The sequence below is a fragment of the Homo sapiens genome, chromosome 12 (genome assembly GCF_000001405.40).
Source record: "Homo sapiens chromosome 12, GRCh38.p14 Primary Assembly".
NCBI lineage: Eukaryota > Metazoa > Chordata > Mammalia > Primates > Hominidae > Homo > Homo sapiens.
The window spans coordinates 53,872,170-53,899,297 of record NC_000012.12 but is presented as its reverse complement, the minus strand read 5'-3'; the positions used below and the strand labels follow the sequence as shown (position 1 = coordinate 53,899,297).

Genomic DNA, 27,128 nt, shown 5'->3' with positions numbered 1-27,128 from the left:
CCTTCTTTATCTTTCTTTCTTCTCTCACCCCTCACCCAGATTGGAATGTAGTGGTCATAGCTCACTGCAGCCTCAACCTTCTGGGCTCAAGTAATCTTCTTGCCTCAGCCTCCTGAGTAGCTGGGACTACAGGCGTGTGTCACCATGCTTGGCTAATTTTTAATTTTTTGTAGAGGCAGAGTCTCACTATGCTACCCAGGCTGGTCTTGAACTCCTGGCCTCAAGCAATGCTCCCACCTCAGTCTCCCAAAGTGCTGGGATTACAGGCATGAACCACCACAACCGGCTGCTAATTTCTTTTTTTTTTTTAATCCTATGATAATCCTGCACATGGCAGATAATTTCTTAAAGTGAATATTTTTTAAATCATAAGGGGAAAGATTTTTAAACTAAATTAATACTCAAGGTCATGTGAATTGATGGATAAAATTCTTCTTGAATTTGTGTGGGAAACTTAAATGCACATAGGCTGACAATGGACAAAAGCAGAATATGCCTTTGAGCATGACATAGTAGAAAATGGACAGGTTTGGGAGCCAGAGCTGCATTCAAACTTAGGCTCCACCACCCCTAGAAGAGTGATTTTGAGAGTATTAATTAACCTCTCTGAGTTTTGGTTGTTTAACATATAAAATGGGAATAATAAGATCTCTTTATTGGGTGATTGGGAGGATTCAATTGGACTTGGATATGGAAAGTGTCTCAAGCTCAAATATTAGTTTCCCTTCCCTTAACTGTGATTCTTGTTTCTATGAGTATATTACTCAGACTTGCAAATAAAGTCATTTAAAGATTACCCAATATAAACATGGCCACTTAGGCAATTCCTCAAGGATCTAGAACTAGAAATACCATTTGACCCAGCCATCCCATTACTGGGCACATACCCAAAGGATTATAAATCATGCTGTTATAAAGACACAGGTACACATACGTTTATTGTGGCACTATTCATAATAGCAAAGACTTGGAACCAACCCAAATGTCCATCAATGATAGACTGGATTAAGAAAATGTGGCACATATACACCATGGAATACTATGCAGCCATAAAAATGATGAGTTCATGTCCTTTGTAGGGACATGGATGAAGCTGGAAACCATCATTCTTGGCAAAGTATCGCAAGGACAAAAACCCAAACACGTGTGTTCTCACTCATAGGTGGGAATTGAACAACGAGAACACATGGACACAGGGTGGGGAACATCACACACCAGGGCCTGCCAGGGGGTGGGGGTGGGAGGGATAGCATTAGGAGATATACCTAATGTAAATGACAAGTTAATGGGTGCCACACACCAACATGGCACATGTATACACATGTAACAAACCTGCACGTTGTGCACATGTACCCTAGAACTTAAATTAAAAAAAAAAAAAAAGGCCACTTAGGCATTTTGAGAACATATCTAATATGTAGAGCAGGGCTAATCTATGTAATATTTTTTTACACCAGCAGGTTGACCTTCGTAATTCTGCTTTCTCCTAACTAACATGAAAAAGAATTTGGTATTAGTGCTCCTCAACTTCTCACTGATCATGGTGGGAGAAGACAGCCAAGGGGCCAGGGAGATCAAGACTTGACCAAAGAAATTACTGGGGACAATCTCCAAAGTGGGTAACCCACACAGAGAAAAGAGTCAGTAGATAAAATGGATTGAGTGCTTACTACATATCAGGCTCCATTAAGGCTTTACCTGAATAATTGCATTTAACCTTTACAACAAACCTCTAAGTTAGGCACTATTATTAGGCCCATTTTATAGGTGAGAAAATCAAGGCTTAGAGAAGTTAAGAAACTTATCCAAATTTATACTGATGGAAGTGGCAAGGAAGGATTTTAATCTCAGTCTCTAACATCAGCGCCCAAACTCTTAACCATGTCTTTTAGAGAAGCACAGAGCAATTCAGTCTCAAAGTACGTCCCTCATTTGCAAACACCCGCTTGTCTTGTGATAGGCCCCAGAGAGGTCTTCTGCTCTTACAAAGAGAGGAAGGGAAACTACTACAAAAATAGTGTCCTGAATTTTAAGATAATGATCACCCACAGTGTCTAATGGGAATCAGCTATTCTGTGATGATCTTGTCTGGGCTGTCTGGCAATGGTCACCTGTTTAGGCCTTCCCAACCCCTACCCTTCACCCCCAGCACATTGTTGATTTCCCTCACTGTTGGAACATTTCTCTTGTTGTTGAATCTCAGTTCATTCCATTGAAGTGGAGGCCCTACGATTCTGGCTAATATTCATTTCCCTCCAGGGCTATTTGTCAAGGAGGGGGTGAGTAGGGACTTAATGACATGCTTTCTTTAACAATCTTCCAAACCTATCATCTAGGACAGGGTTTATAAGCATTCATCAACAACACCCTAGCAAAGTAGGTTAGTAGGATGAGCCCACTACCTGTTTAGGAATCTAGAAGGCTAAGACACTTTTATCAAGACTCAGGGGTTTTAAACCCAGTTCCTCCTATCCACATGGCCTTCAGTAAGTTGCACAACTGCTCTGGGTGTCCATCTTCTTCTTGCCTTCCTTCCACACCCACCACTGTTGTCTCTGTTGGCAGAATGAAGGCTGAGCTTTGACTGACTTTCCACAGAACTAATTAAAGTCTACAAACTGCTTTAAGAACCTTCAGTATGGTGTTCTTGCCAAGACAGAATTACAAGTGGGAATGGCAAGGAATGGGATAGGTAAAACTGGGATAGTTGAGCTGCTCTGAGGAAGGCTCCAATTAGCCTTGCTCCACTGTGAATCTTCAAGCTTTTTCTCTCCTATCTGCTCAGCTATTGTGCAGAAGAGTTCGCTTCTTTTCCTCTTTCGAAGAATCAGATATGAGACAACCTGGGAGCTGAGTTCTGCAATCCTTTTGTCTCAAAATTACACACAGACTCCTTCAGACAACACTTGTCTTACGAAAAGGTAATAGTGGATTAAATCTGAGTCTGGAACAAATCCCTCTGTTGCAGGATGCTTCCAAGCGTGGTTGCTTAGGGATTGCTCTTGAGCTCCTTCTCTACTATGGCCTTGACGTGGGCACTTCTGGGGAGGGGGATTAAAAAATTCCTCTGAAGAGTCAGGTCCTGCCCTGGAGGAGTTTACCTGTGAGGGCAAAACACACACAATAAAAGCAACCTTAGAACAATTACAAAGCAACACATTAATATAGGCAAATAAAATAACATCGGAGGGATTAATGTTAGACTTCAGAAGAACTTCCTACCACAACAGATATTGTGGATTCTCCTTTGCTTGGTAGGTTTAGGAATATCTCTGTTTGAAAACAGGAATCTTTTACCTTTAATACTCATCACTCATGTTACAAAAGCCTCAGTCCTTGGGGTATTTTAAGTATATTCTGCTTTTAAACAGGTCAGCTGTCCTTTGGGTAGTTTTCCTTTTCTTCTCTCACTGTTCTGTAAACATTTTCTGGCTCCATTTCTCCCATTTCCATATTCTGAATAGCAAAGGCTTTCTGCTGCCCACTATCCAAATCAACACATCCCCCTGTGGGACACATGGAATCAGCCAGCATTTTTCCAGGTGAAGATGTGCAGGATGGGTAGATATTCTTTAGCACATGTCTCAAATGTACGAATGGCAGGACATCATGAGGCCAGAGGAGGAGGGGTAGGAGAAGCATCTAAACTCTCAGGAATTCATCTCCACATCTTTTAAAACAAAGGCTTCTAAGGCTTTTCACCATTTTGGGGAGGGTTCTCCGTGGTCTCAATTACCATACTTCTGGTAGCAAACTATGACACTGATAGCCAAAACAGGAGATTTCAGATACAACACAGGAAGGTGCTCCCTGAGGGGTCTGACTTAGCAAGAAGAGTTTCTGTAAGAGGAACAAATATTCAGAAGATTTGTTTTATTCTAGCCCTTGCCAAATGATGAGTGAAGAGATGGCTGTGCTGAAGAATGCAGGATAACAGGAGCATGCTGGGCCACAATAAAACATTCACTGCAAATCATTCCAAAAATGAATAACACACCAAATAATGGTAAAAATGAACAGATAATATTGGGGAAATGGTCAACTCTTGCCAGGATTATATCCTCATCATCAGAAGAAAGAAGGGAAAAATAACTCTAATTTGGGGAAGGGAAGGAGATTATGGAGATAACTCCTAGTGCCAGGCTCATTCTGAAGCTGTGGTTTCAGGCCAAGAGTTTGTGTGCTCAAACTTGCAAAGCTCATGCCTGCAGCCTTGGAAGAGAAGACTCTATTCAATGCGTGGATTCAGTCAAGTCTAACAGACCCAATTTTCTCACCCAGCCTTGAAGGTTCTCTCTACTCTTCTACCACCTTCAAGGTACACTGATGTTCCTGACCTTCTTTTTTCTTCAAACCACATATAAGGCTTTTTAGTCTCCACTGGATGCACTTAAGGAAAGTAGATAAACTGTATCTTAATACAGAGCAAAGTCTGCTGATGTAGAAGATCAAATAACACATTTCATGAACTTGAAATGGCAGATGGACGAATTATAATTATTTGATGCCTGAGCAGGGGTCCTGCCGTAAAGACTTCTGTGGAATTCAATAATATGAAAGAATATCAGATCCTGGTAAGGGGTGCTTACAGCCTAAGTAGAGAAACAAAACATAAAGACACGTGAGGAACAATCGCAGAGCTCACGTAAACCTAGGCAGAATTATGCAGCACATACTGGAAAAGGACAGACTGAAGCTGAATTTAGCTCTATTCTCCTTAACTGCCATTTTGAGCATTCACTGTGAGCCAGGCACAGTGCTAGGAGGTGCTCTACGTACCTTCTTTTCTTTTAATCCTCACAAACTGTGTGATAGGTATTGTTAGCACTATTTCAGACATAAGATTAAGTAATTTGTTTAAGTAAACAGGAGAATGCATTGAAACTGTTCTGGGTTAAAACCCAAATCTATGTGACTTGAAGTAGGTGTCCATAACCCCCACCCCATATTGACTCCTTCTTTAGAAGAACTTTCTACCTTGAAAGAAGTTATGAGCTGTCTTTGCTTGAGAAGAGTTTGTACAACTTAGAGGCAGTGTTGTGAAAGTAAACGAATGAATGATATGGATTGCTATCCTTCAGTTTCCTGACTGGGCCATCTAGTTCTAGGCTGAGGAAAACAATAAAAACCACAAGCTCAAAAGATGCTAATGTTGCACAAGCTCCCAGGGGCCTTGGGCTGAAACACACTTGGAAAGATCATTCTGCTGCTTCCACATGTAAGACTTTTTTCTTTTCTTTTTTTTTTTGAGATGGAGTCTCGCTCTGTTGCCCAGGCTGGAGTGCAATGGCGTGATCTCGGCTCACTGCAACCTCCACCTTCTGGGTTCAAGCCATTCTCCTGCCTCAGCCTTCCAAGTAGCTGGGACTACAGGTGCATGCCACCAGGCCAGGCTAATTTTTTGTATTTTTAGTAGAGACGGGGGTTTCACTATGTTGGCCAGGCTGGTCTCGAACTCCTGACCTCATGATCCACCCACCTCAGCCTCCCAAAGTGCTAGGATTACAGGCATGAACCACCATGCCTGGCCACATGTAAGACTCTTTAGACGCCACAGGATTCATGTTAGGAAGGTGAATGAGCTACATTTTCATGCAGAGCAAGCTCCCCTGACACAGATCATATAATGCATTTTGGACAACTCCAGATTGATTAGTTCCCTCCCAATTTAGCTTTTACTATTTTACTGGACTCTAAAATTAATAGAAAAGTGTATTCTGGGGACCTTTGGCATTGACTTTGTGGCACGGCAACTTTTCCATATGTCTAGTTTCAATACTTGCCGCTGCAAAATATACATTAGAGTTTTACACCCGACATATACTCTGTGGAATATAAAAGTATATAAAATGGTCATATCCCTCCAAGAACTTATGCCCTCATATATAGGTAATTAAAACAAAAGCAAGATTCAATATGCGAAGAGTGTGAAAAGAGCTTAAAGTCCTTAGTACCAAGATCCTCTTCAGTCAATCATATTTACCCAGACGCTCATGGAGCCACAATCTTTTTGAGAACGTCTTAAGCAAGAAGGTGGGACATTTGGGTTTTAGGCTCAATGTGTACTTCTAACACACCCTCTCCTGGCATTCATGGAACATTTATTGGGCACTTATGATGTGCCAGGCACTGGGAATGCAGAGATGACTATGATGTAACCCTGCCAGCAAGGAACTCACATGCATGCCTTTATCAGAGCTGGGAACAATGTCCCACCCAACACATCCAACCAACTTCAGCAAGGTGTTTAACTGGAGAGTATGGGGGAGAGTGCAGGGACTAATGCTAATAGTGCTGAGTCAACAATTTATCCACTTATCCTCTCCCCAACACTTCCTCAGAAAGTGAGAGAGTTGCAGGAAACCACATGAGTTTCACTAATCCCCCACCAATGGCACCCACTGCATTACTGGCCTCATTATTTCTTAATGGGACTTTGTTGATTACAGACTGCTTAATTACAGTGACAGACTCCCTTTTGGTTGGGGGGCCCTGGGGCAAGAAAATGAGGGTAAGAAGGTTTGTGGGGGGGATTATGACTGTAGGCAATGCCCTACCTCCCACCCACTGCCCTGCTATCCAGGGCAGGAGCTAGTGTGAGAAAGGAATCTCTGACCAGCTATATTGTTCCTCCTTTCCTGCCCCCCTCGCACTAATAAAAGCCTTCAGAGATCAGAAAAAAAATCAACTTCATCTTATAACAGTTTTCCTAATACAGCTTTCTTCATTCACCTTTGAAAATATCTGTTAATCAGAAAGAAACAGCAATATCATGTCACTATTAAAACACAGGAATAGTAGAATTCTTGGCACATAGTAGGCATATAACAGATATTTGTTGAATAGATGAATGATTACAGAGAGACAGAATAATAGGAGCAAATGCATGCAGAGAACAAGCTGATGGTATGTCTATACTGGGCTACCTGATCAAGTGACCCCTTCATGGAAGCACTCCCCCACCGGACTCTCCACTAAAATGACCAATTGCATGACCGAGTTGACAACATCAGAAGGCACCTTTAGTACCACACATATGCATCTAGTAACCAAAAGAGAGGAAAAGAGGAAGGGAAGGAGGAAATGAGGTTTTTTGTTTGTTTGTTTGTTTGTTTGTTTGTTTTTCATGTACATGTATGTACAGCAGTCCTGAAAAGGTACAGGTGGGAAAACCAGAGAATAGAAAAGGTGAAGTAAACAAGACTGAACCATGAGGTGTGGGGCAGAATGGGCATTTCAGGCAGTAAATAGAGTAGGTGTAGAGATGATCCAGACAGCCACATCCACTTCAAGTAACACAATTAGTTCTTGTAATGTCTTGCGTTGACCTCACCTTGCCACCTCTACCATACCTATCCCAGGCACTCAATAAATATTCTTGGTTTAAACCCAGGCAACTATTGATCCTGGCCAATAAAATTACAGTGGACAATAAAAAAAACAGAGATCAACAGACTAGTTTTTAAATTTGTTTTTTGCCCAAGCAGTTGCCTTAGCAATATATGGTTTACATAAGCATTCATTGGAAAGTGTTTGCAGTGTCAACTTGGGAATGACTAGGGTAGGGAAGCCAAGGTGTACGCTGAAGGGCAAAAAATGGTCAAATCAGGATTTTAAATTTCCTAGAGGTAATATACATGCCCCAACATTTGGGGGTTGACTATTTGTACCTTCATTCTGAACTATACAATTTAAAGAAAAATTTCTAATGTCCCCATTTTTCATTTGTAATATTCATCATCAGAGGTAGATATATCTCAGGGTTCTTTCTCTCTTCTTTTATATAAAATGGCTTATTCCTTATGCTGGGACAGTATTAAACTGTCTATAAAATTCCCTAAATTAATCACTGAATAGTTTAAACATAATAAACGTGTTAACTGTCTCAGTTAATTGGCCCAAGAAATTGTGTTCATCCACAGAATCATATTTTTTTCCTCTCTTACACTTTCTCTGTCATCCTGAGCTAATGCCATAAGCATGAAAAATTGTTCTTTACTAAAGCTGAATTCATATCCAAAACTAGAGCAAGGCCTTAAATAGGAATTTAAGAAATAACTCCAAAATAGGTAGAAGAGAGGGTTTTGGATGTTTTCACCACAAAGACTTGATAAATGTTTGAGGTGAAAGATCTGCTAATTACCCTGATTTGGTTATTACATGATGTATCCATGTATGGAAACATCACACTGTTCCCCATGAATATGTACAATTATTATGTGACAATTAAAAACAAAATAAAACTTGTAAAAAAAATCCACTGACTTGGAGGATCATCACATCTTGTGTAGGTCAGTCACTTCTGAGATGGCCACCATGTGTTCAGGGAATAGGGAGAAAATTCAAAAGGAGGAGATATAGTCCCTTCCCACTGGGAGAGTTCTGTACCATGGGGGAGATTGGAAAGCACTCGTGAAGCAGAGACCACAGCAAAGAGAGACAAGGACAGAACCAGGAGGCAGCTTGCTGAGCTCCAAGGTAAGTGCTAGAAAGATGTAAGGAAACTAAATAGAGAAAAACCAAGTCAGGGAGTAAAGGACCAAAGTGATGGGCCATGGACAAGATTCCATGTGTGTGCCTCTGCGTGTGTACTTTACAAGGAGCGGCAGGAAAGAGCGGGGAAAAGGGGTAAACTTAGATCTGTGGAGAGAAGCAAGGAAAGTCCGGGGGAGAAGTCTAGGATGTGAAAGGCAGGGAGGCGTGCTATAAAAGATGCTGAAAACTGGGTCCCAAGCCTTCTGTCCTCCATGACTATTTATACAAATCCACACTCAACATTGGTGGGCAGGCCAGTAGATTTTTGCAAGGTTATCTGACCTGTGTGAAACATGTCTTTGCGTCAAGATAATGAAAAAGAGGGGGTGCTCTTTACATTATGGCTTTGAGCCTTTACTGAGGAACACTTAATTATTAAGTCCACTCTAACATGAAGTGATGGGAACTGGGAGATACCTGTCTTCAACAGCATAACAGGCTTCAAATCTCTGAAGAGTTATTCAGAGGACAACTGGCAGCTGTGCTTCATTCTTTCTGAGGAAGTAAAAACCACAAGGAAATAGAATGAAGCTACAGAGGCTGGGACTGAGTTAGAGGAAAAAAAAATCCTGATGGAAAAGACTCTCCTCTTTGGTACCCCTTAGGACAGCCCTTATAATAGCCATCCATCTGGGATGACTTAAATGCCAATTTGCTGGACTCGTGAGAAAATAGGGGTCCGTGCAATGTTTCATGATATAGTTCAAATGCTACCTCATCTGTAAGATGGGTAAAATGATATTTCACAGAGATGATATGTGCAAAAATGCATAGCTCCATGACCAGGCCCAGGTTGTGTGTGTGTGTGTGTGTGTGTGTGTGTGTGTGTGTGTGTGTATGCATGCGTGCATGCTGTAGTCATTTCTTCAGTAAATACAGATCTTTCTCTTTCTCTCTCTTTTTTTTGCTCATCCTCAGTTTCCTTAAATAGAAAATGGGCATAGACTGCCTTAGAGAATTTGGCAGGAAGATCAAAGGAGTTCAATGGATGGGAAAACATTTAGAAATTGCAAATCACCACACACAAAGAAATAAAAGTTATCATTAGGCCCTCTGTGAAAGTGTTTTTCTAACTGCCACTATATGCACATGTGCCTGTGTGTGTGGTCATGTTTGTTCTATGTGCATCTGCATGCACATGCATTAGAAAATGCATCCAGGCCAGGTGCAGTGGCTCACGCTTGTAATTCCAGTACTTTGGGAGGCCCAGGCAGGAGGATGGCTTGAGGCCAGGAGTTAGAGGCCAGCCTGAGCAAAATGGCCAGATCCCGTCTCTACAAAAATTTAAAAAATTAGCCAGGTGTGGTGGCACAAACCTGTGGTCCCAGCTACTCAGGAGGCTGCTGAAGCAGGAGGATCGCTTGAGCCCAGGAGGTGAGGCTGCAGTGAGCCATGTTTGTGCCACTGCACTGTAGCCTGGGCAACAGAGTGAGACGAAAGAAAGAAAGAAAGAGAGAGAGAGAGAGAGAGAGAGAGAGAGAGAAAGAAAGAAAGAAAGAAAGAAAGAAAGAAAGAAAGAAAGAAAGAAAGAAAGAAAGAAAGAAAGGAAGGAAGGAACGAAGGAAGGAAGAAAGGAAAGGAAAGGAAAGAAAAGAAAAGAGAAAGGAAAGGAAAGAAAAGAAAGAAAGAAAAAGGAAAGAAAGAAAGAAAAAGAAAGAAAGAAAGAAAAGAAAGAAAGGAAGGGAGGAAGGAGGAAGAAAGAAAGAAAGGGAGAGAGAAGAAAGAAAGAAGAAGAAAGAGAGAGAGAAAGAAAGAAAGAGAAAGAAAGAAAGAAAGAAAGAAAGAAAGAAAGAAAGAAAGAAAGAAAGAAAGAAGACGGAGGGAGGAAGGAAGGAAGAAAAGAAGGAAAGAAATGCATCAGAATGGATATGTATTAGTGGAGGGGAAGGTGGCATACCTTATACCTTGGGAGGTTTGATATTTGGGTGAATGGATGATCAGTGAGTGTATACATTGTATAGCTGTGTATATGTGTATATATGTATAGGTGTATGTGTCTACCTATAGCATGGCATAGGTGCTAGGGGCAAGTGTGGCCATGGTATATGTTGTTTTTTTTTTCTGGGAAGTATGACTACAGAAAGACACATGCAGATAGGACTCAATTACCAAACTCAAGTGGAAAAATGAAGATTTATATAGCTTTGAATTGAATTGATCAGACAATGTAGGCAAAAAGCTTTGTTTTCCATTTTTAATCTGTCCATCAGCTCACTTTCCAAACTAAATCATTAAAATATAAGCATCAGGAGGATGGGGACTTTGACTATCTTGTTAACTGGTATATGAACAGCACGTAAAACAAACTGCACCTGGCACAGGGTAGACATGAAATAAATATTGAGACAAATACTGGAATAAATATCTGATAAATGAACAAATGGTTTATTTAAACCACCTCAGGGCCCCATTCTGCCTCTGCCAATTAATGGAAGAGTTGGGATGACAGCAGGGATGGACTGGGACCAGCAGGACACTGGTTCTTGAGGCAGAGAAGGCATATGAAGAATGAAGCTGGAAGAATTCATCCTGGCAGGCTCCTTCGAGGGATGGGAATATAGAGCAGAGAACTATCAACATTCTACACAAGAACTTATTCCCTGAATATTTATTCTCCAATATTTTATGAGTATCCATTGTGTGACAGCTGCAGTATTTGGTAATATGGTTATAAAAATGAATAAGCTGTGGTCTTGAAGTATGCATTTTGGTGAAGACCGATGTGAAAACAAAACAAAATTATAAAATGGGCATGGGCCTTAGAAAATGTTTGTAAAAAGCATTCTGGGAGCAGATGAGATGAGTGAATATTTGCCTGGGAGAGGAGCTAGGTTCTCAACCCTCTGAGCTAGGGTTTGAAGCATGAGTTTCTTGCTGACTTCCCAAGTGCAGAAGGGGAAAGGGGTTTCCAAGCAGAGTAGGGCAAAGTCCATGTTGTTATGTGGGAACAGGAAGGGGCTCAGCTTGTTGTGCATCATGGACAATGACACAAAGTATGCACAAGGAATCCAGGCTTTTAGATGCAGAGTTGCTCAAGTTGTTGTCTTAAAGCAGATCATTGTAAAGCGGAAACCTAATAGCAGGTGTACTATATCTTGACTGCACATGCAGCATCACTTTCATACTTTTACTCAACAGCAGAAGGAGGGCGAAGTGTAGATAAAGGTATTAAGAAGTTACATGGAGGTCTTTATGAGACAACATCAAACGAACAGAGCTGTAAAATGCAGATGAGAGGAAAGTGGGAAATGACTATTGAGGAGACTACATCAGAGAACATAAATCCACTTCAGAAAACATGGCACACATATAGAAAAAGGGCTTAAAAACATTTACAAAGCAGCATATAAATAAGTGCAAATATGTGGTACAGACAGTCCCCTGGTGCTATGTGAGCATAGAATAAACAAGAAACTAACACTGGATGAGGGTTACTTGGGAATGAATCAACCAAAGTTTAAAAAATAGACAGGATAAGGAAATTGTCAGACACCAACCAAAATTTACTCCCCCGACTTACTCCCAGCCTGGGCTGATTTTCTACCTGTCACAATGAACACGTTACTCATTTGCCACTTTGAACAGTCGGTTTTCATTTCCTACTCTGCAGACACCCCCTCAGACACTCTATTTAGTTTCCCACAGGCAATTATGACTCTCAGATTTCCTGTGGCTCTAGGAGTATGGGGGGTCAGGTTGTCCTAGACCATAAGGAGGCAATTATCCAGATAATTTAGGTATCAAATCATTTATTTGAATAATCAAGCTCATGTATCCAATTTTCTGCTTCCCAAAGTTCTGGCAGCTGACTTTCCCAAGATTAGCACATGCAGTACCAAGTCATAGGAAGACTTAAGAATGTCCAATAAAATGTGTTTCTGTTGACATTATGTAGGGTTCTTTGGGTCCTCAACCACCTTTTATTTTATTTTATTTTATTTTATTTTATTTTATTTTATTTTATTTTATTTTAAGTTCTGGGATGCATGTGCAGAACATGCAGGCTTGTTACATAGGTATACATGTGACTGGTGGTTTGCTGCACCTATCAACCCATCATCTAGGTTTTAAGCCCCGCATGCATTAGGTATTTGTCCTAATGTTCTCCCTCCCCTTGCCTCTACCCCCCAACAGGCCCCATCTTTTCTATCTGCCATTTGGTTTGACAGGTACAGCAATCTTTAGGAGTCCATGTCAATTTCCCAGAGATGGAAGGGTGCAGACAAGTTCCTGATTTTGTTAGGTCTGACAGTCATTGTATTTCACTCACTTAGAAAAGAAATTTGAGTCTAAAGAGATTCCTCCCCATAGATATCTAAGCTGGAATAATGTTAGCCTACACTGCTGTTTACAAAGGCTGCCTCCCCTAGAGGCAGATTTGAAAAACATTTGGGTTAAAGCCGATAGTATTTGGTCATTCAAATAATGATAGAGAAGAAGGAGTCAAGAATGGTAACCAGGTTTCTGGCACAAGCAACTGGATGCCTCCAACTGAAATAGGAACTACAAAAGAAAGAGCAGGTGAGTTCTACTTTTGAGCACGTAAAATTTGAGCTACTTTGGGTGGACAGCAGCTGCATACTTCAGTCTGTACTGGACTTGATGGATCTGTGTAAATATCCTGATTTAGTTTATTCTCATGAGGCCTATACCTCCTACCACATTTCATGTTCTCTGAGAATATGTCTGATGCCTGGGGTTTCTTTAGTATCCACCTGCAGAGAGCCTCATATGGGGTTCATTCACAATGGGGGATAATATTTATTGATTGGTAGGCTTGGAAATAAAGGTTTTCAAATGTTTTCCCAGAGAAACCTTCTCCTTCACACTCCAGTCCTTGCTTTTGTTTTTGTATCTGCTTTAGAAGGGTTCTTTGGTCTCATTACAGCCAATTTAGACAGATGCCTTTGCTACTTTAGTCTGCTTTTTTTTTTTTCTAAAATAACTCGTAGTGTTGTGTTTAGGTTTTTCTGTTGTTAAACTATATATTAAAATAAAGATTTGGAAAATGATTTCATAAGTCTGTCATCCTGACTGGATTCCTCTTTATTAAACCTTATGCCATAAAATAATTAAGGGTCACACTCAGATTGTCCCAACCTCATATTAAATGTAGACCTATCAAAGAGTGATAAGGGGATACAGGGTGAGGACTGTAACCCAGGAGACCCAGAGACTTTTAAACCATATATTTGGGATATAGACAAGCCCCTCTCATACCGTAAGGAGGACTAGGGCTGATTCTTAACTTCCCCCTTTCCTCACCACTATGAAAATTACCTTCACTCCACCTCCATCCCCAGGTCCCCAGGCCCACAAACTTGGAGCTAATCTTTAAACTTCCCCCTAATCTTTGCCATACACAGTTACACCACTACCAAGTCCTCATTCCTCCATCGTAGTATTTCTTAGAGTTTATTCTTCTTTCTTGGCCTGGTTTCCCTAAGAATTAAAGCCAGAAGTAAAAATTTATGTGATAATACTTTATTGAGGAATGCAGTCCCAGGGAATCCGTGAAAGCTGCTTTCACGGGATCCCCTTGTTATGCGGTAGCTATTGTTGTTCATCATATCAAATTAAAGCTCTTCCACTTGGCCTTAATTCATCGTTTGTACAGCTCCCTCTCCTCACCACTCCCACCCACCACCACACCTCCATCTAATGGCTTTCTAAATGGAATCTCTTCTCTGGTTTATGTACTCTACTTCCTCTCTTTCATACATGACATCCTCATGCAAAACCTCAGGCCTTCATGCCAAAAATGTTCACCTCCTCTGCAGTAACTCAATTTCTCTCCTTATAAAAATAATAATAGCTGAGATTTCCTGAATACTTATTATGTGCCATGCATTGTGCTAAGGGTTTTGCATGTGTCATCTCAGTTAACTTAAAAAATCTCTTTGAGGCGGATACTATTTTATGACAGAGTTAGTTAACTGGTTTTTGGAAAGACCAGTCATTTTGCTCAAGATTATATAGCTAATAAATTGCCCAGCAATGACTTAAACTATCGTTTGTTTAAACTCCACGTAAAACTTCCTATTTGCAGGGAGACTTCCCTTAACCCAACAGTGACAATGCTACTGCTCTGTGACTCCACAGCAGTTACAAATATAGTTTTGTTTTGCTACTTTGCCACTTTTTACACATTATTAAGTGTTCTTAAGCCTTTTATTGTTGTTGGTGATGGTGGTGGTAGTGTGTGTGTGTGTGTGTGTATCAGAGAGAGTGAGAGAACTTTCCTAAACTAGACTTTAGAATGGGAGATTCCAGAAGGCAAGGAATGACTTTCATTGATTTATTTTTTAAATATCACTGTCATCTGTCATTGGAGGGCAGAGCTCTGCTCTTTGGCATTGGCAGCAAGGAATACTAGAATGCTCACAAACCAATATTCAGGGGTGACTTTGTACAAGACAATGGTGTGGCCACACATAGGATAATGAACTCAGTTTTAGATTCTTCTCTTTAAGACACATAATAAAGTTAGAGATAGCCCATGGAAGAGGATTGAGTGGCTGGCTTATGACAATAGTGATCTTTATGTAAAAAGATAAAATTTGGAGGGTAGGATATAGTGAAAATATTTAAATTCAAGATGGCTATCCTGTGGGTAAATATAGTATTTGCCAATCCTGAAATAATGGAACAAGAGAGGCACATTTTGAAACAAATGAATAAACTGTTTTACATTCAGTTAGCAGACTAATAGAACTCATTACCGTGAAATAATTGCTATAAGCTGAAAATACAAGAATTTCTAAGATGGCTTAGACTTCCTGTTTGAAGACGGCAACGTGAAGATGGCAGTATAAAAATGACATATTCCTTTTCTCCTCTTGTAAATCACCAAAAATTAAAAAATGACAAGGAGAATGAGAAATCTTCAATGAAGCTACAAGAAAGATGAACCAAGAGAGAGATAGAAAGGCATCAAAAGGAGTAGCCATGAACAGGACTGGGGAGAAGAGAGGATGCACCCAGCTGCAGATGTAAAGAATCAGTAGGTACACTGCTTCTAGGAGCACATCTTCAATACAAAACCAAAATCTCTCACAGCAGGGTGTATAGGCTTGCAGCAAGAGCTTTCCTAGACCTACTTTGCTTCAGAGAAACAAAAGAAGTGGAGCTGAAGGAATTACACAAACAAGCGTATTTTCAGAAAGCAGTGTGATGGAGGGAGAATATAAACCTTGCCTCTCGACTAGTCCTACAGCAACCTATATCCATTGGCTGGGGAAATATAAAGGAAAAAATTCATAAATAAACCTGAGACATAAGAAAAATTTCTCTTAGCCTGGAACTCCGAGCTCTCAACCACTCAGTCTTCCTATGAATAGTGATACAGGGAAAACTTATCTCATTCAAAGATGAGTAGTTATAAAGAACAGGCTTCCACAGTAGGTAGCAGGAAAGAATAAAGAGAATTTTTTTTTCTTTAATTTAAAGAAAATCTAAAGGCTATAAAGGTTAGAAATAGCAGGTCCAACAGTCTAACAATAGAAGCCCCAGGAGAGAAAAGTGGACGAGAAAATATTTAAAGAAACAAAGAAGAAACACTCTACAAAATTAAAGACGAAAGACCTTAGATTGGAAGGGCTCATACAGGGCCAAATAAAACAGATAGCAAAAATGCACAATTAAATACATTATACTGAATTTTAAGAATATCAAAGACAAATAGAGAATTTTAAGGGAGAAAGAGTAGATTACTAATTAAGGAATAAGCATCAAGCTGACATTAGATGTCAATAGAACATAGGATGAAAGAAACAATGGAGTAGAATCTTTAAAGAGTTAGAGGAAAAAGGCCGCACTTTGAGAGGAAAAAGACTCACGCCTGTAATCCCAGAACTTTGGGAGGCCGAGGTGGGTGGATCACGTAAGGTCAGTAGTTCAAGACCAGCCTGACCAACATGGTGAAACCCTGCCTAAAAATACAAAAATTAGCAGGGCATGGTAGGTGCCTGTAGTCCCAGCTACTCAGGAGGCTGAGGCAGGAGAATCGCTTGAGTCTGGGGAGGCAGAGGTTGCAGTGAACCAAGATCGCGCCAATAAAAGTAACCCAGTAAGGAGACATGGAAAGGAAGGGTGATTAAGTATTTTGATAAAGTTTATTGTTTTTTAAAAAGCTAGAATTAAACAAAATAAAAAAGGTATACCTGTGAAACTATAAACTAAAAATCCAGACAATATCAACATGATAGAGGAATGAGTTATGGAAAACAAGAGATCCAACAGAATGCTAAAGAACTTGTCCTGTTAGGATCTGAGATAATGCCATATTTAAGAAATAGTAAAGGGGTAAATAACAAGAATATGGCTATTAAGTCAAGGGAAAAACCATAGGAACTTCTAAAAACTCCGTCTATCAAATAAGAAACAGAAAAGGTGAAAAAATAAAAAAGTTTTGGTAAATATTATTTCATCAAATAAGAATTTGTTTCCGATAAAGAACATGAAGAATGCATAAGTAAAATTAACAGAAAGATGGTAGATTGGAAAAAAAAAGTTGTAATATTTAAATTTCATAAAAGACTTTACCTAGACCAGTACTTTGCAAACTTTAGTATGCATTTGAAAAACCTGGGGATCTTGTTTAAAAGTGGATCTTGAATCAGTAGGTTCAGGACAGGATCCAAGATTATGCATGTCTTATAAGCTCCAGGTACTGCCAATATTGCTGGTCATGAACCATTCTCTGAATAGAAAATACCCATTTTCTATTATCCTATTACTTCTATTATCCTACTCTATTCTATTATTTCTATTTATTCTCATGTTAATAAATAAGAAAAGATAACAACCCTAATAGACTAACATATAAAGGATGTGAGGAAACTCAAATATGAATAAATGCTCTCCAGTGTTCTAAAGTTGCATGTATTGGTAATTTATTATTTTTATTGCTCAAAAGTATTCCTTTATATGTACCTACCACCCTTTGTATAATCATTCACCAGCTGATGGATATATGGGTTGTCTCTAGTTTTTAACTACTGTGAATAAAGTTGCTATGAACATCCTGTGTACAAGTCTTTGTGGGAACATATGTGTTCATTTATCTTGGGTAAAAACCTAGGAAGCCAATTGCTGGATTTTTACAACAAGTGTATGTTTAACTTAACAAGAAACTGCTAAACTATTTTCCAAAGTGATTGTACCATTTTCCATTCCCATCAGAAGTGTATGAGAGTTTCAGTTGCTCCATATTTTCATCGACATGTGTTATTGTCAGTCTTTTTATTTTGAGCCATTCTAGTGGTGTGTAGTGGTATCTCAGTGTGACTTTAATTTGCATTTCCCTGATGACTAAAGGTAGTGAGCAACTTTTTATGCATTTATTAAACATTTGCATATCTTTTTTGTGAAGCCTGTTCACAGCCTCTGTCCATCTTTAAATTAGTTTGCCTTGTTATTGATGACTTGTAAGAAGAGTTCTTTGTCTGTGCAAAGGACTACACATGTCCCTTGTCAGAGACATATGTATATATAACTGGGTGTGGCAGGTGGCTGTAATTCCAGCTACTCGGGAGGCTGAGGAGAATGGCATAGATAGATAGATAGATAGATAGATAGGTAGATAGATAGATAGACAGATTTTTTGTCATGGTCTTGTGTTGTCTTTTCCTTTGCTTAAAAGTCTCTTTCAAAGAGCAGAAGTTCTTAATTTCAAAATCAAATTCATACTTTAAAAATTTCATGGATCCTGCTTTTTGTGTCCTATCTCAGAAATTTTTACCTATCCCAATGTTGTGAAGATTCCTTCTATGTTTTATTCTAGAAAAGTCTTTGCTCTGTCTCAAACTAATTTCTGTCTATGATGTGAGGTAAGGGTCAAAGTTGTTGTTGTGATGGATATCTAGTTGTTCTAGCATAATTTGTTATAATAGTATCCTTTCCTACATTGAAATACCTTGGCACCTTTATCCAAAACTGGCCAACAAAATAATAGAAACAGAGAGTAGAACGGTAGTTTCTAGGGGCTGGAGGAGAAGAAAAATGGGAAGTTATTGTTTAATGGGTATAGAGTTTCAGTTTTATAGATGAAAGCAGTTACGGAGATGGATGATGGAGATGGTGGTAAAACAAACATTATGAATTTATCTAAAACCAATGAATTGTACATTTAAATAGCTATGATGGTAAATTCTATGTTATATGTATTTTACACAATAAAAAATTGGAAAATAATTTTGACAATTTTGATTGTTTTGTTGTTTTCAGTGTTCAGGTCCTGCACAGACTTTGTCAAATTAATCCTTAAATATTTCATGAATTTTTAGATGTTATTATAGATAGTAGTTTTAAACTTTTTACTTTCTAATTGTTCATAGCTAGTATGAGAATACAATTGATTTTTTCCACACGTTGACCTTATATCCTGCAACATATCTAATTTTATTAGTTCTAACAGATTTTTTCTAGATTGCTTTGGATTTTATATATATATGCAATCATGTTACCTGCAAATAAAAACAATTTTACTTTTTTCTTTTCACTGTGTATGATTTTTATTTCTTTTTCTTGCCTTAGTTTACAGGCTAGGATCTCCAGCACAACACTGAACAGAACTCGTAGGAATGAGCATATTTGCCTTGTTCTTGATCTTAGGGGGAAAGTGTTCACCATTAAATATGATGTTAACTGTAGATTTTCTGTAGATGCTCCTTATCAGACTGAGAAAAGTTTTTTTCTATTTCTAGTCTGGAGAATTATTAGTGTTGAATTTTGTCAAGTACTTATTCTGAATCTGCTGAGGTGATCACATGGTGTCTCCATTTTTTTGTTTATATGGTGAAATATATTGATTGATAGTCAAATGTTAAACTGACTTTGCTGGATTCAATTTGTTAATATTTTATTAAGAATTCTTTTGGAAGTTCTGGCCAGGGCAATCAGGCAGGAGAAAGAAATAAAGGGTATTCAATTAGGAAAAGAGGAAGTCAAATTGTCCCTGTTTGCAGATGACATGATTGTATATCTAGAAAACCCCATTGTCTCAGCCCAAAATCTCCTTAAGCTGATAAGCAACTTCAGCAAAGTCTCAGGATACAAAATCAGTGTGCAAAAATCACAAGCATTCTTATCCACCAATAACAGACAAACAGAGAGTCAAATCATGAGTGAACTCCCATTCACAATTGCTTCAAAGAGAATAAAATACCTAGGAATCCAACTTACAAGGGATGTGAAGGATCTCTTCAAGGAGAACTACAAACCACTGCTCAAAGAAATAAAAGAGGACACAAACAAATGGGAGAACATTCCATGTTCATGGATACTAAGAATCAATATCGTGAAAATGGCCATAGTGCCCAAGGTAATTTATAGATTCAATGCCATCCCCATCAAGCTACCAATGACTTTCTTCATAGAATTGAAAAAAACTACTTTAAAGTTCATATGGAACCAAAAAACAGCCCGCATTGCCAAGTCAATCCTAAGCCAAAAGAACAAAGCTGGAGGCATCACGCTACCTGACTTCAAACTATACTACAACGCTACAGTAACCAAAACAGCATGCTACTGGTACCAAAACAGAGATATAGACCAACGGAACAGAACAGAGCTCTCAGAAATAATACCACACATCTACAACTATCTGATCTTTGACAAACCTGACAAAAACAAGAAATGGGGAAAGGATTCGCTATTTAACAAATGGTGCTGGGAAAACTGGCTTGCCATATGTAGAAAGCTGAAACTGGATCCCTTCCTTACACCTTATACAAAAATTAATTCAAGATGGATTAAAGACTTAAATGTTAGACCTAAAACCATAAAAACCCTAGAAGAAAACCTAGGCATTACCATTCAGGACATAGGCATGGGCAAGGACTTCATGTCTAAAACACCAAAAGCAATGGCAACAAAAGCCAAAATTGACAAATGGGATCTAATTAAACGAAAGAGCTTCTGCACAGCAAAAGAAATTACCATCAGAGTGAACAGGCAACCTACAGAATGGGAGAAAATTTTTGCCATCTACTCATCTGACAAAGGGTAATATCCAGAATCTACAAAGAACTCAAACAAATTTACAAGAAAAAAACAACCTCATCAAAAAGTGGGCAAAACATATGAACAGACACTTCTCAAAAGAAGACATTTATGCAGACAACAGACACATGAAAAAATGCTTATCATCACTGGCCATCAGAGAAATGCAAATCAAAACCACAATGAGATACAATCTCCCACCAGTTAGAATGGTGATCATTAAAAAGTCAGGAAACAACAGGTGCTGGAGAGGATGTGAAGAAATAGGAACATTTTACACTGTTGGTGGGACTGTAAAGGAGTTCAACCATTGTGGAAGACAGTGTGGCGATTCCTCAGGGATCTAGAACTAGAAATACCATTTGACCCAGCCATCCCATTACTGGGTGTATACCCAAAGTAATATAAATCATGCTGCTATAAAGACACATGCACACGTATGTTTTTGCAGCACTATTCACAATAGCAAAGACTTGGAACCAACCCAAATGTCCAACAATGATAGACTGGATTAAGAAAATGTGGCACATATACACCATGGAATACTATGCAGCCATAAAAAAGGATGAGTTCATGTCCTTTGGAGGGACATGGATGAAGCTGGAAACCATCATTCTCAGCAAACTATCGCAAGGACAAAAACCAAACACTGCACGTTCTCACTCATAGGTGGGAATTGAACAATGAGAACACTTGGACACAGGAAGGGGAACATCACACACTGGAGCCTGTTGTGGGGTGGGGAGAGGGGGGAGGGATAGCATTAGGAGATATACCTAATGTAAATGACAAGTTAATGGGTGCAGCACACCAACATGGCACATGTATACATATGTAACAAACCTGCACATTGTGCACATGTACCCTAGAACTTAAAGTATAATAAATATATACATAGATATCAAGAATTCTTATATCTGTGTTTATGATAGATATTAAACTACACGTTTATTTTCTTATGATGTTTTTGTATGATTTTGATGTCAGAGTAATTTTGGCACCATAAAATGAGTTATGAAGTGTTTCCTCCTCTCATATTTTCTGAAATCTGCAGGATTGGTATGATTTCTTCATTCAGGGTCTGATAGAATTCACCAGTGAAGCCATCTTGCTTTGGTGTTTTTCTTCAAGGGAAGGTTTTAAAATTATAAATTCAGTTTTTTCAATAGAGCTAGAGTTGTTCACATTTTTCAACTTATATGTCAGTTTTGGCGACTTGTGTTTTTCAGAAATTTATCCATTTCATCTAAGTTGTCAAATTTATTAACATAAGGCTGTTCATAATATTTCCTTATTAGCCTTTAAAGTCTGTTGAATTGGCCAAGCACGGTGGCTCACGCTTGTAATCCCAGCACTTTGGGAGGCCAATGCGGGGTATCACTTGAGGCCAGGAGTTCAAGACCAGCCTGGCCAACATAGTGAAACCCCATCACTACTAAAAATACAAAAACTTAACTGGGCATGGTGGCGTACACCTGCAACCCCAGTTGTTTGGGAGGCTGAGGCATAAGAATTGCTTGAACATGGGAAGCAGAGGTTGCAGTGAGCAGAGATCGCACCATTGCACTCCAGCCTGGGCGACAGAGCAAGACTCTGTCTCAAAAAAATAAATAAATAAAAATAAAATAAAATAAAATAAAATAAAGCCTGTTGATCTATGGTATCTCCTTTTTTCATTCCTGATATTTGTAAGCTGTATCTTCTTTGCTTTTTATAATCTTTCTAACTAGAGGTTTATCAATTTTGTTAATTTATTCAGTGATACTGCTTTTCATATCATTGACTATCTATTATTTTTCTGTTCTTTATTTCAGTGATTTCCACCCTAATTTTTATTATTTCATTCTTCTACTTTTGCTTCATTTTGTGCTTCTTTTTATAAGTCTTTAAAATGGAATCTTAGATAATTGATTTGGGATCTTTCTTCTTTTCTAACAAAAACATTTACAGATATAGGTTTCCTTTTAGATACTTCCGTAGCTACATTCACAAATTTTAAAATATTGTGCTTTGTTTTTTTAAGAGTCAAAGTATTTTCTATTTTACCTTGTGATTTGTGTTTCATGGACTATTTAGGAATATTATGTTTAATTTTCTAAACTATGGGAATTTTTCAGATATACTTTTGGTTAGGTTTTTAATCTAATTCTGATGTGATCAGAGTATACTCTATATGATTTCAATCCTTTTAAATTTAGCAATGCTTGTTTTATGGTCAAAATGGTTTACCTTGGTGACTGTTCCATATATACTTGAAAATAACATGTGTTCTGCAATCACCGCAGGTAACGTTCTATGAAGGAAGACTCAATCAAGTTAGTTAGTTATGTTGTTCAAGCCTTCTAAATCTTTAGTGGTATTATGACAACTTGTTCTATCAATTCCTGAGAGAACAGAGTTTAAAATCTATTCTAATGGTGAGTTTGTCTATTTCTCTTTATAGTTATGGCACTTCTGCTCCATGTATTTCGATGTTCTGTAATTTGCCAATTATTTACTATTATTATTGTTATTTCCTTTTGATCATCTGAACCTTTTATCATTATGAAATGTCCCTCTTTATCTGTCTTACTATTCCATGTACTGAAGTCTCCTTTGCCTGGGATTAATATAGCACCTTCAGCTTTCTTATTATTTATGTTTGCATGCTACCTGTTTTCCCACCCTTTACTTTTAATCTAAATATTTAAAATGCATTTCCTGCAGACAGCATATTGTTTAATCATGCTTATTTATTCTATTTGACAATTTCTAGCTTTTAATTGGAAGGTTTAGACTATTTATATTTAATGTAATTATCAATATAGTTGACATTAAGTCTGGTCATCCCTTGTTTCCTCTTTCCTCTTTTGGATAAATTGAGTAAGTTTTAGGATTCCTCTTTTGGATTGAATAAGTTTTAGGATAGCTATACTTTTTCATTTGGTTATTTTATTGACTATTTTATGGGATTTATATTATGCAATTTTAACTATCAATGCCTATATTCAAATAATATACCCTGTCACATACAAAGTAGGGACAATAGTTTGCTTCCATCTCCTTTGTGCTATTATCGTCATACATTTTACTGCTATGTATGTTATAAACCCCAAAATACATTGCTTTCTCTTTTGTTTTAAATAACTTGTTATCCTTTTTTAAAACTTTTTTCCTTTAAAATTTATTTATTTATTTATTTATTTATTTATTTATTTATTTATTGAGACAGCGTCTCGCTCTGTCGCCCAGGCTGGACTGCAGTGGCATCATCTCAGCTCATTGCAACCTCCACCTCCCAGGTTCAAGCAATTCTCCCACCTCAGCCTCCTGAGTAGCTGGGAATATAGGCATGTGCCACCATGTCTGGCTAATTTTTGTATTTTTTGCAGAAACAGGGTTTTGCCATGTTGCCCAGGCTGGTCTCGAACTCCTGGGCTCAAAGTGATCTGCCCACCTCGTAAATAGCCTGTTAACTTTTAAAGAAAATTTAAAAACAAGAAAAAGTCTTAATATTTACCCATATACTTACCATTTCTGAAACTCTTATAAGTCCAAGTTTCTATTCAATATCCTTTTCATTCAACCTAAAAATCTTCCTTTAGCACTCAGTATTCATTCGGATTCTGTTTGTGTGGAAACAAGTCTTTATTAACCTTTACTTTGAAAAACATTTTAACTGGACATAGAATTTCAGGTTGGCACATATTTTTCATTCAGTACTTTAAAAATGTTCTTCCAGACTGTAAACTAGTTCAACCATTGTGGAAGACAGTGTGGCGATTCCTCAGGGATCTAGAACTAGAAATACCATTTGACCCAGCCATCCCATTACTGGGTATATACCCAAAGGATTATAAATCATGCTGCTGTAAAGACACATGCACACGTATGTTTATTGCGGCACTATTCACAATAGCAAAGACTTGGAATCAACTTAAATGTCCAACAACGATAGACTGGATTAAGAAAATGTGGCACATATACACCATGGAATACTATGCAGCCATAAAAATGATGAGTTCATGTCCTTTGTAGGGACATGGATGAAACTGGAAACCATCATTCTCAGCAAACTATTGCAAGGACAAAGAACCAAACACCGCATGTTCTCACTCATAGGTGGGAATTGAACAATGAGAACACATGGACACGGGAAGGGGAACATCACACACCGGGGCCTGTTGTGGGGTGGGGGGAGCAGGGGAGGGATAGCATTAGGAGATATACCTAATGTAAATGACGAGTTAATGGATGCAGCACACCAACATGGCACATGTATACATATGTAACAAACCTGCACGTTGTGCACATGTACCCTAAAACTTAAAGTATAATAATAATAAAATAAAATAAAACGAAACAAAGAAATAAAAATTGCTAATTTGCTAGGTGAAAAAAAAAATGTTCTTCCAATGTCTCCTGGCTTACATTGATGCTGACAAACCATGTCTAATAATTCTTATCTTTGTTCCCTTATATTTAATATATCTTCCCTAGCTACTTTAAAATTTTTCAGCAATTTGATTATGATGTGCCTTGGTGTAGTTGTCTTTATGTTTAGCCAGCCTAGGGTCACTGAGCTTCTTAAATTTATAGGTTTATAGTTTTTATTAAATTGAGGGGAAGCTATCCATTATTCCATCAAAATTTTCTTAATCCTATTACATAAATGTTAAACTACTTGATATTGTCCCTGCAGTCATTAATGCCTTCTTTTTGTTTTTCAGTATTTTTTCTATCTATGCCTCCGTTTGTATGGTTTCTTTCTATGTCTTCAAGCGCATTTATCTTTTCTTCTGTAGTGTCAAATCTGTTATTAAACCCATTCAGTAAATATATATATATATATATTTTCATGTATATAGCACTTGTTTAGGATGGAAGGACAAGTTTCATGTCAGTTACTTCTTTGTGACCAGAAGCAGAAGTTTCTTATCTCCTTATTTTTCTTATTTTTATCTTTTTTCTTATCTCCTTATTTTTCTCTTCATATTTCATGTTCTGTAGTTTCATATGTTAGGGTTGGATTTATTTTTTTTATTTATTTATCTTGCTTGGAATTCACTGGGCTTCTGAGTGACTTTAATCAGTTTAAGAAAATCCTGTCATTATTTCTTCAAACATTGCCTCTGTTCTATTCTTTGTCTTGTTTAATTTTGGAGCCTTAATTATTGGTTGATACGGGTCTTCTCCCTCTATTTTCCATATATCTCAACTCTGTTTGATATTTTCATACTTTCACCACATTGTGCTTCATTCTGGATTTCTTTTGATCTGTCTCCTAATTTACTAATTATCTCTTCAATTGGGTCCAATTTGCTGTTAGAATCATTCTACTTGGTTCTGCTTTAAATCCATTAGATCACTTTTTACATTCCCGGAAATATTTTCAGGCTTGTTTTTTAACATGTGCCTAACAGGTAGTTTCAATCTCTGGAGGCTTTGTGCATCTGTTTCTGCTGTCTGTTGTTTTTGCTGATTCTTACTCACGGTGCCTTCTCTCCCTATGTGCTTATTTGCTCACTGCCTTTGAAGAATTACTTGTGGAGATTTTTGAGGCTTAGGATGAAGAGGTCTTCATTGAGGGAGGATTTGCCTTTGCTTTTGCTAGGTCCCCAAAGGAAATACTAATCTGGAATCATTTAAAATTAAATTCAAGGTTTGAGGTTTTCTTTTACTACCTAGGTGATATAAATTTGGGCTGCAAATCAGGCTGGCTTGGACTTTTTCCTTCTGCTCTGCTCAGCACCAAGGAAACTTTCTTATAGTCCCTTGGAGATGTGGCAGAGGGGGTAGGTTTACTTTTTTTTTTCTTGGAGACAGGGTCTCATCCTGTCACCCAGGCTGGAGTGCAGTGGCACAATCATGGCTCACTGTAGCCTCAGCCTCCCAAGTACCTGGAACCATAAGTGTGTGCCACCACACCCAGCTGATTTTGTTAGTTGTAGAGACTGGGTCTTCCTATGTTGCCCAGGCTGGTCTTGAACTCCTTGGCTCAAGAAATCCTCCTACCTTGGTCTCCCAAAATGCTGGGATTACAGGCATGACCCACCATGCCCAGCCTAGGTTTACTTCTATTTCACCTTACACTAAGGGTATAACTCTTTGATTTTTCAGTTTTATATGGGGTCAGTCTCCTATTAGATTCATAACTTCGGGCCAGCCATGAGTTTGAAGTTCTCAGACCAGCCATCAAAACCAGAGTGCAAGTTTGCTTCTATCAGCAAATACCTTCTGGTTAAAAGTAGCCTTTTTGTTTCACTTATCACTTTGAGTTTTCACTTTCAACTAGATTTTGACCTGATATTTCCCTACTATTTTGTTGGCTCTTTCATGCTTTTAAGATGTCTTAACTATTTTATCCAGCATTTTAAAGCTATTTTCAGCAGGAACGTTGATTCAAATAACCCAGCCCAAGCCTTTCACATTCCCAGAAACTGAAGTCCACTTAAAAAAGAAATCCCATCAAATGGCCTCTATAGGTAATCCAAACCCTCACTGGTTATTTTTTGTTTGTTTGGGGGTGAAGAGGTTGTTTGCTTTTTGCTTTTACAGACTAATGTGTCTTCCTTAAAAAGCAATTGAGAAAGTACCCTATAATGTAAGAC

The 27,128-nt window shown here is 38.3% G+C and overlaps 1 long non-coding RNA gene across 7 annotated transcripts in view, besides 2 other annotated features; it reads right to left on the bottom strand.

Annotated features, from left to right (window-relative positions):
- Window positions 1–913: 913 nt before the first annotated feature.
- LOC105378250 (uncharacterized) overlaps window positions 914–27,128 on the bottom strand; it is a 158,791-nt gene continuing 132,576 nt past the window's right edge. For 4 of the 7 annotated variants that reach the window (NR_189098.1, NR_189100.1, NR_189103.1 and 1 more), the window contains 2 exons: window positions 24,050–24,143; window positions 914–3,101 (listed from right to left, as the gene is read on the bottom strand). This is a non-coding gene — a long non-coding RNA (uncharacterized LOC105378250). The remainder of the gene's footprint in view (window positions 3,102–24,049; window positions 24,144–27,128) is intronic. The other 3 variants (NR_189099.1, NR_189097.1, NR_189101.1) reach the window with 1 other exon arrangement.
- Window positions 2,916–3,085: an enhancer, noted in NCBI's record as "experimental_29464 CRE fragment used in MPRA reporter constructs". NCBI's record gives its function as "activates a minimal promoter by MPRAs in K562 erythroleukemia cells, with activity observed for the introgressed 12:54290082 variant allele {active_cell/tissue: K562}" and the evidence as "EXISTENCE:reporter gene assay evidence [ECO:0000049][PMID:34662402]".
- Window positions 3,113–3,282: an enhancer, noted in NCBI's record as "experimental_29460 CRE fragment used in MPRA reporter constructs". NCBI's record gives its function as "activates a minimal promoter by MPRAs in K562 erythroleukemia cells, with activity observed for the introgressed 12:54289885 variant allele {active_cell/tissue: K562}" and the evidence as "EXISTENCE:reporter gene assay evidence [ECO:0000049][PMID:34662402]".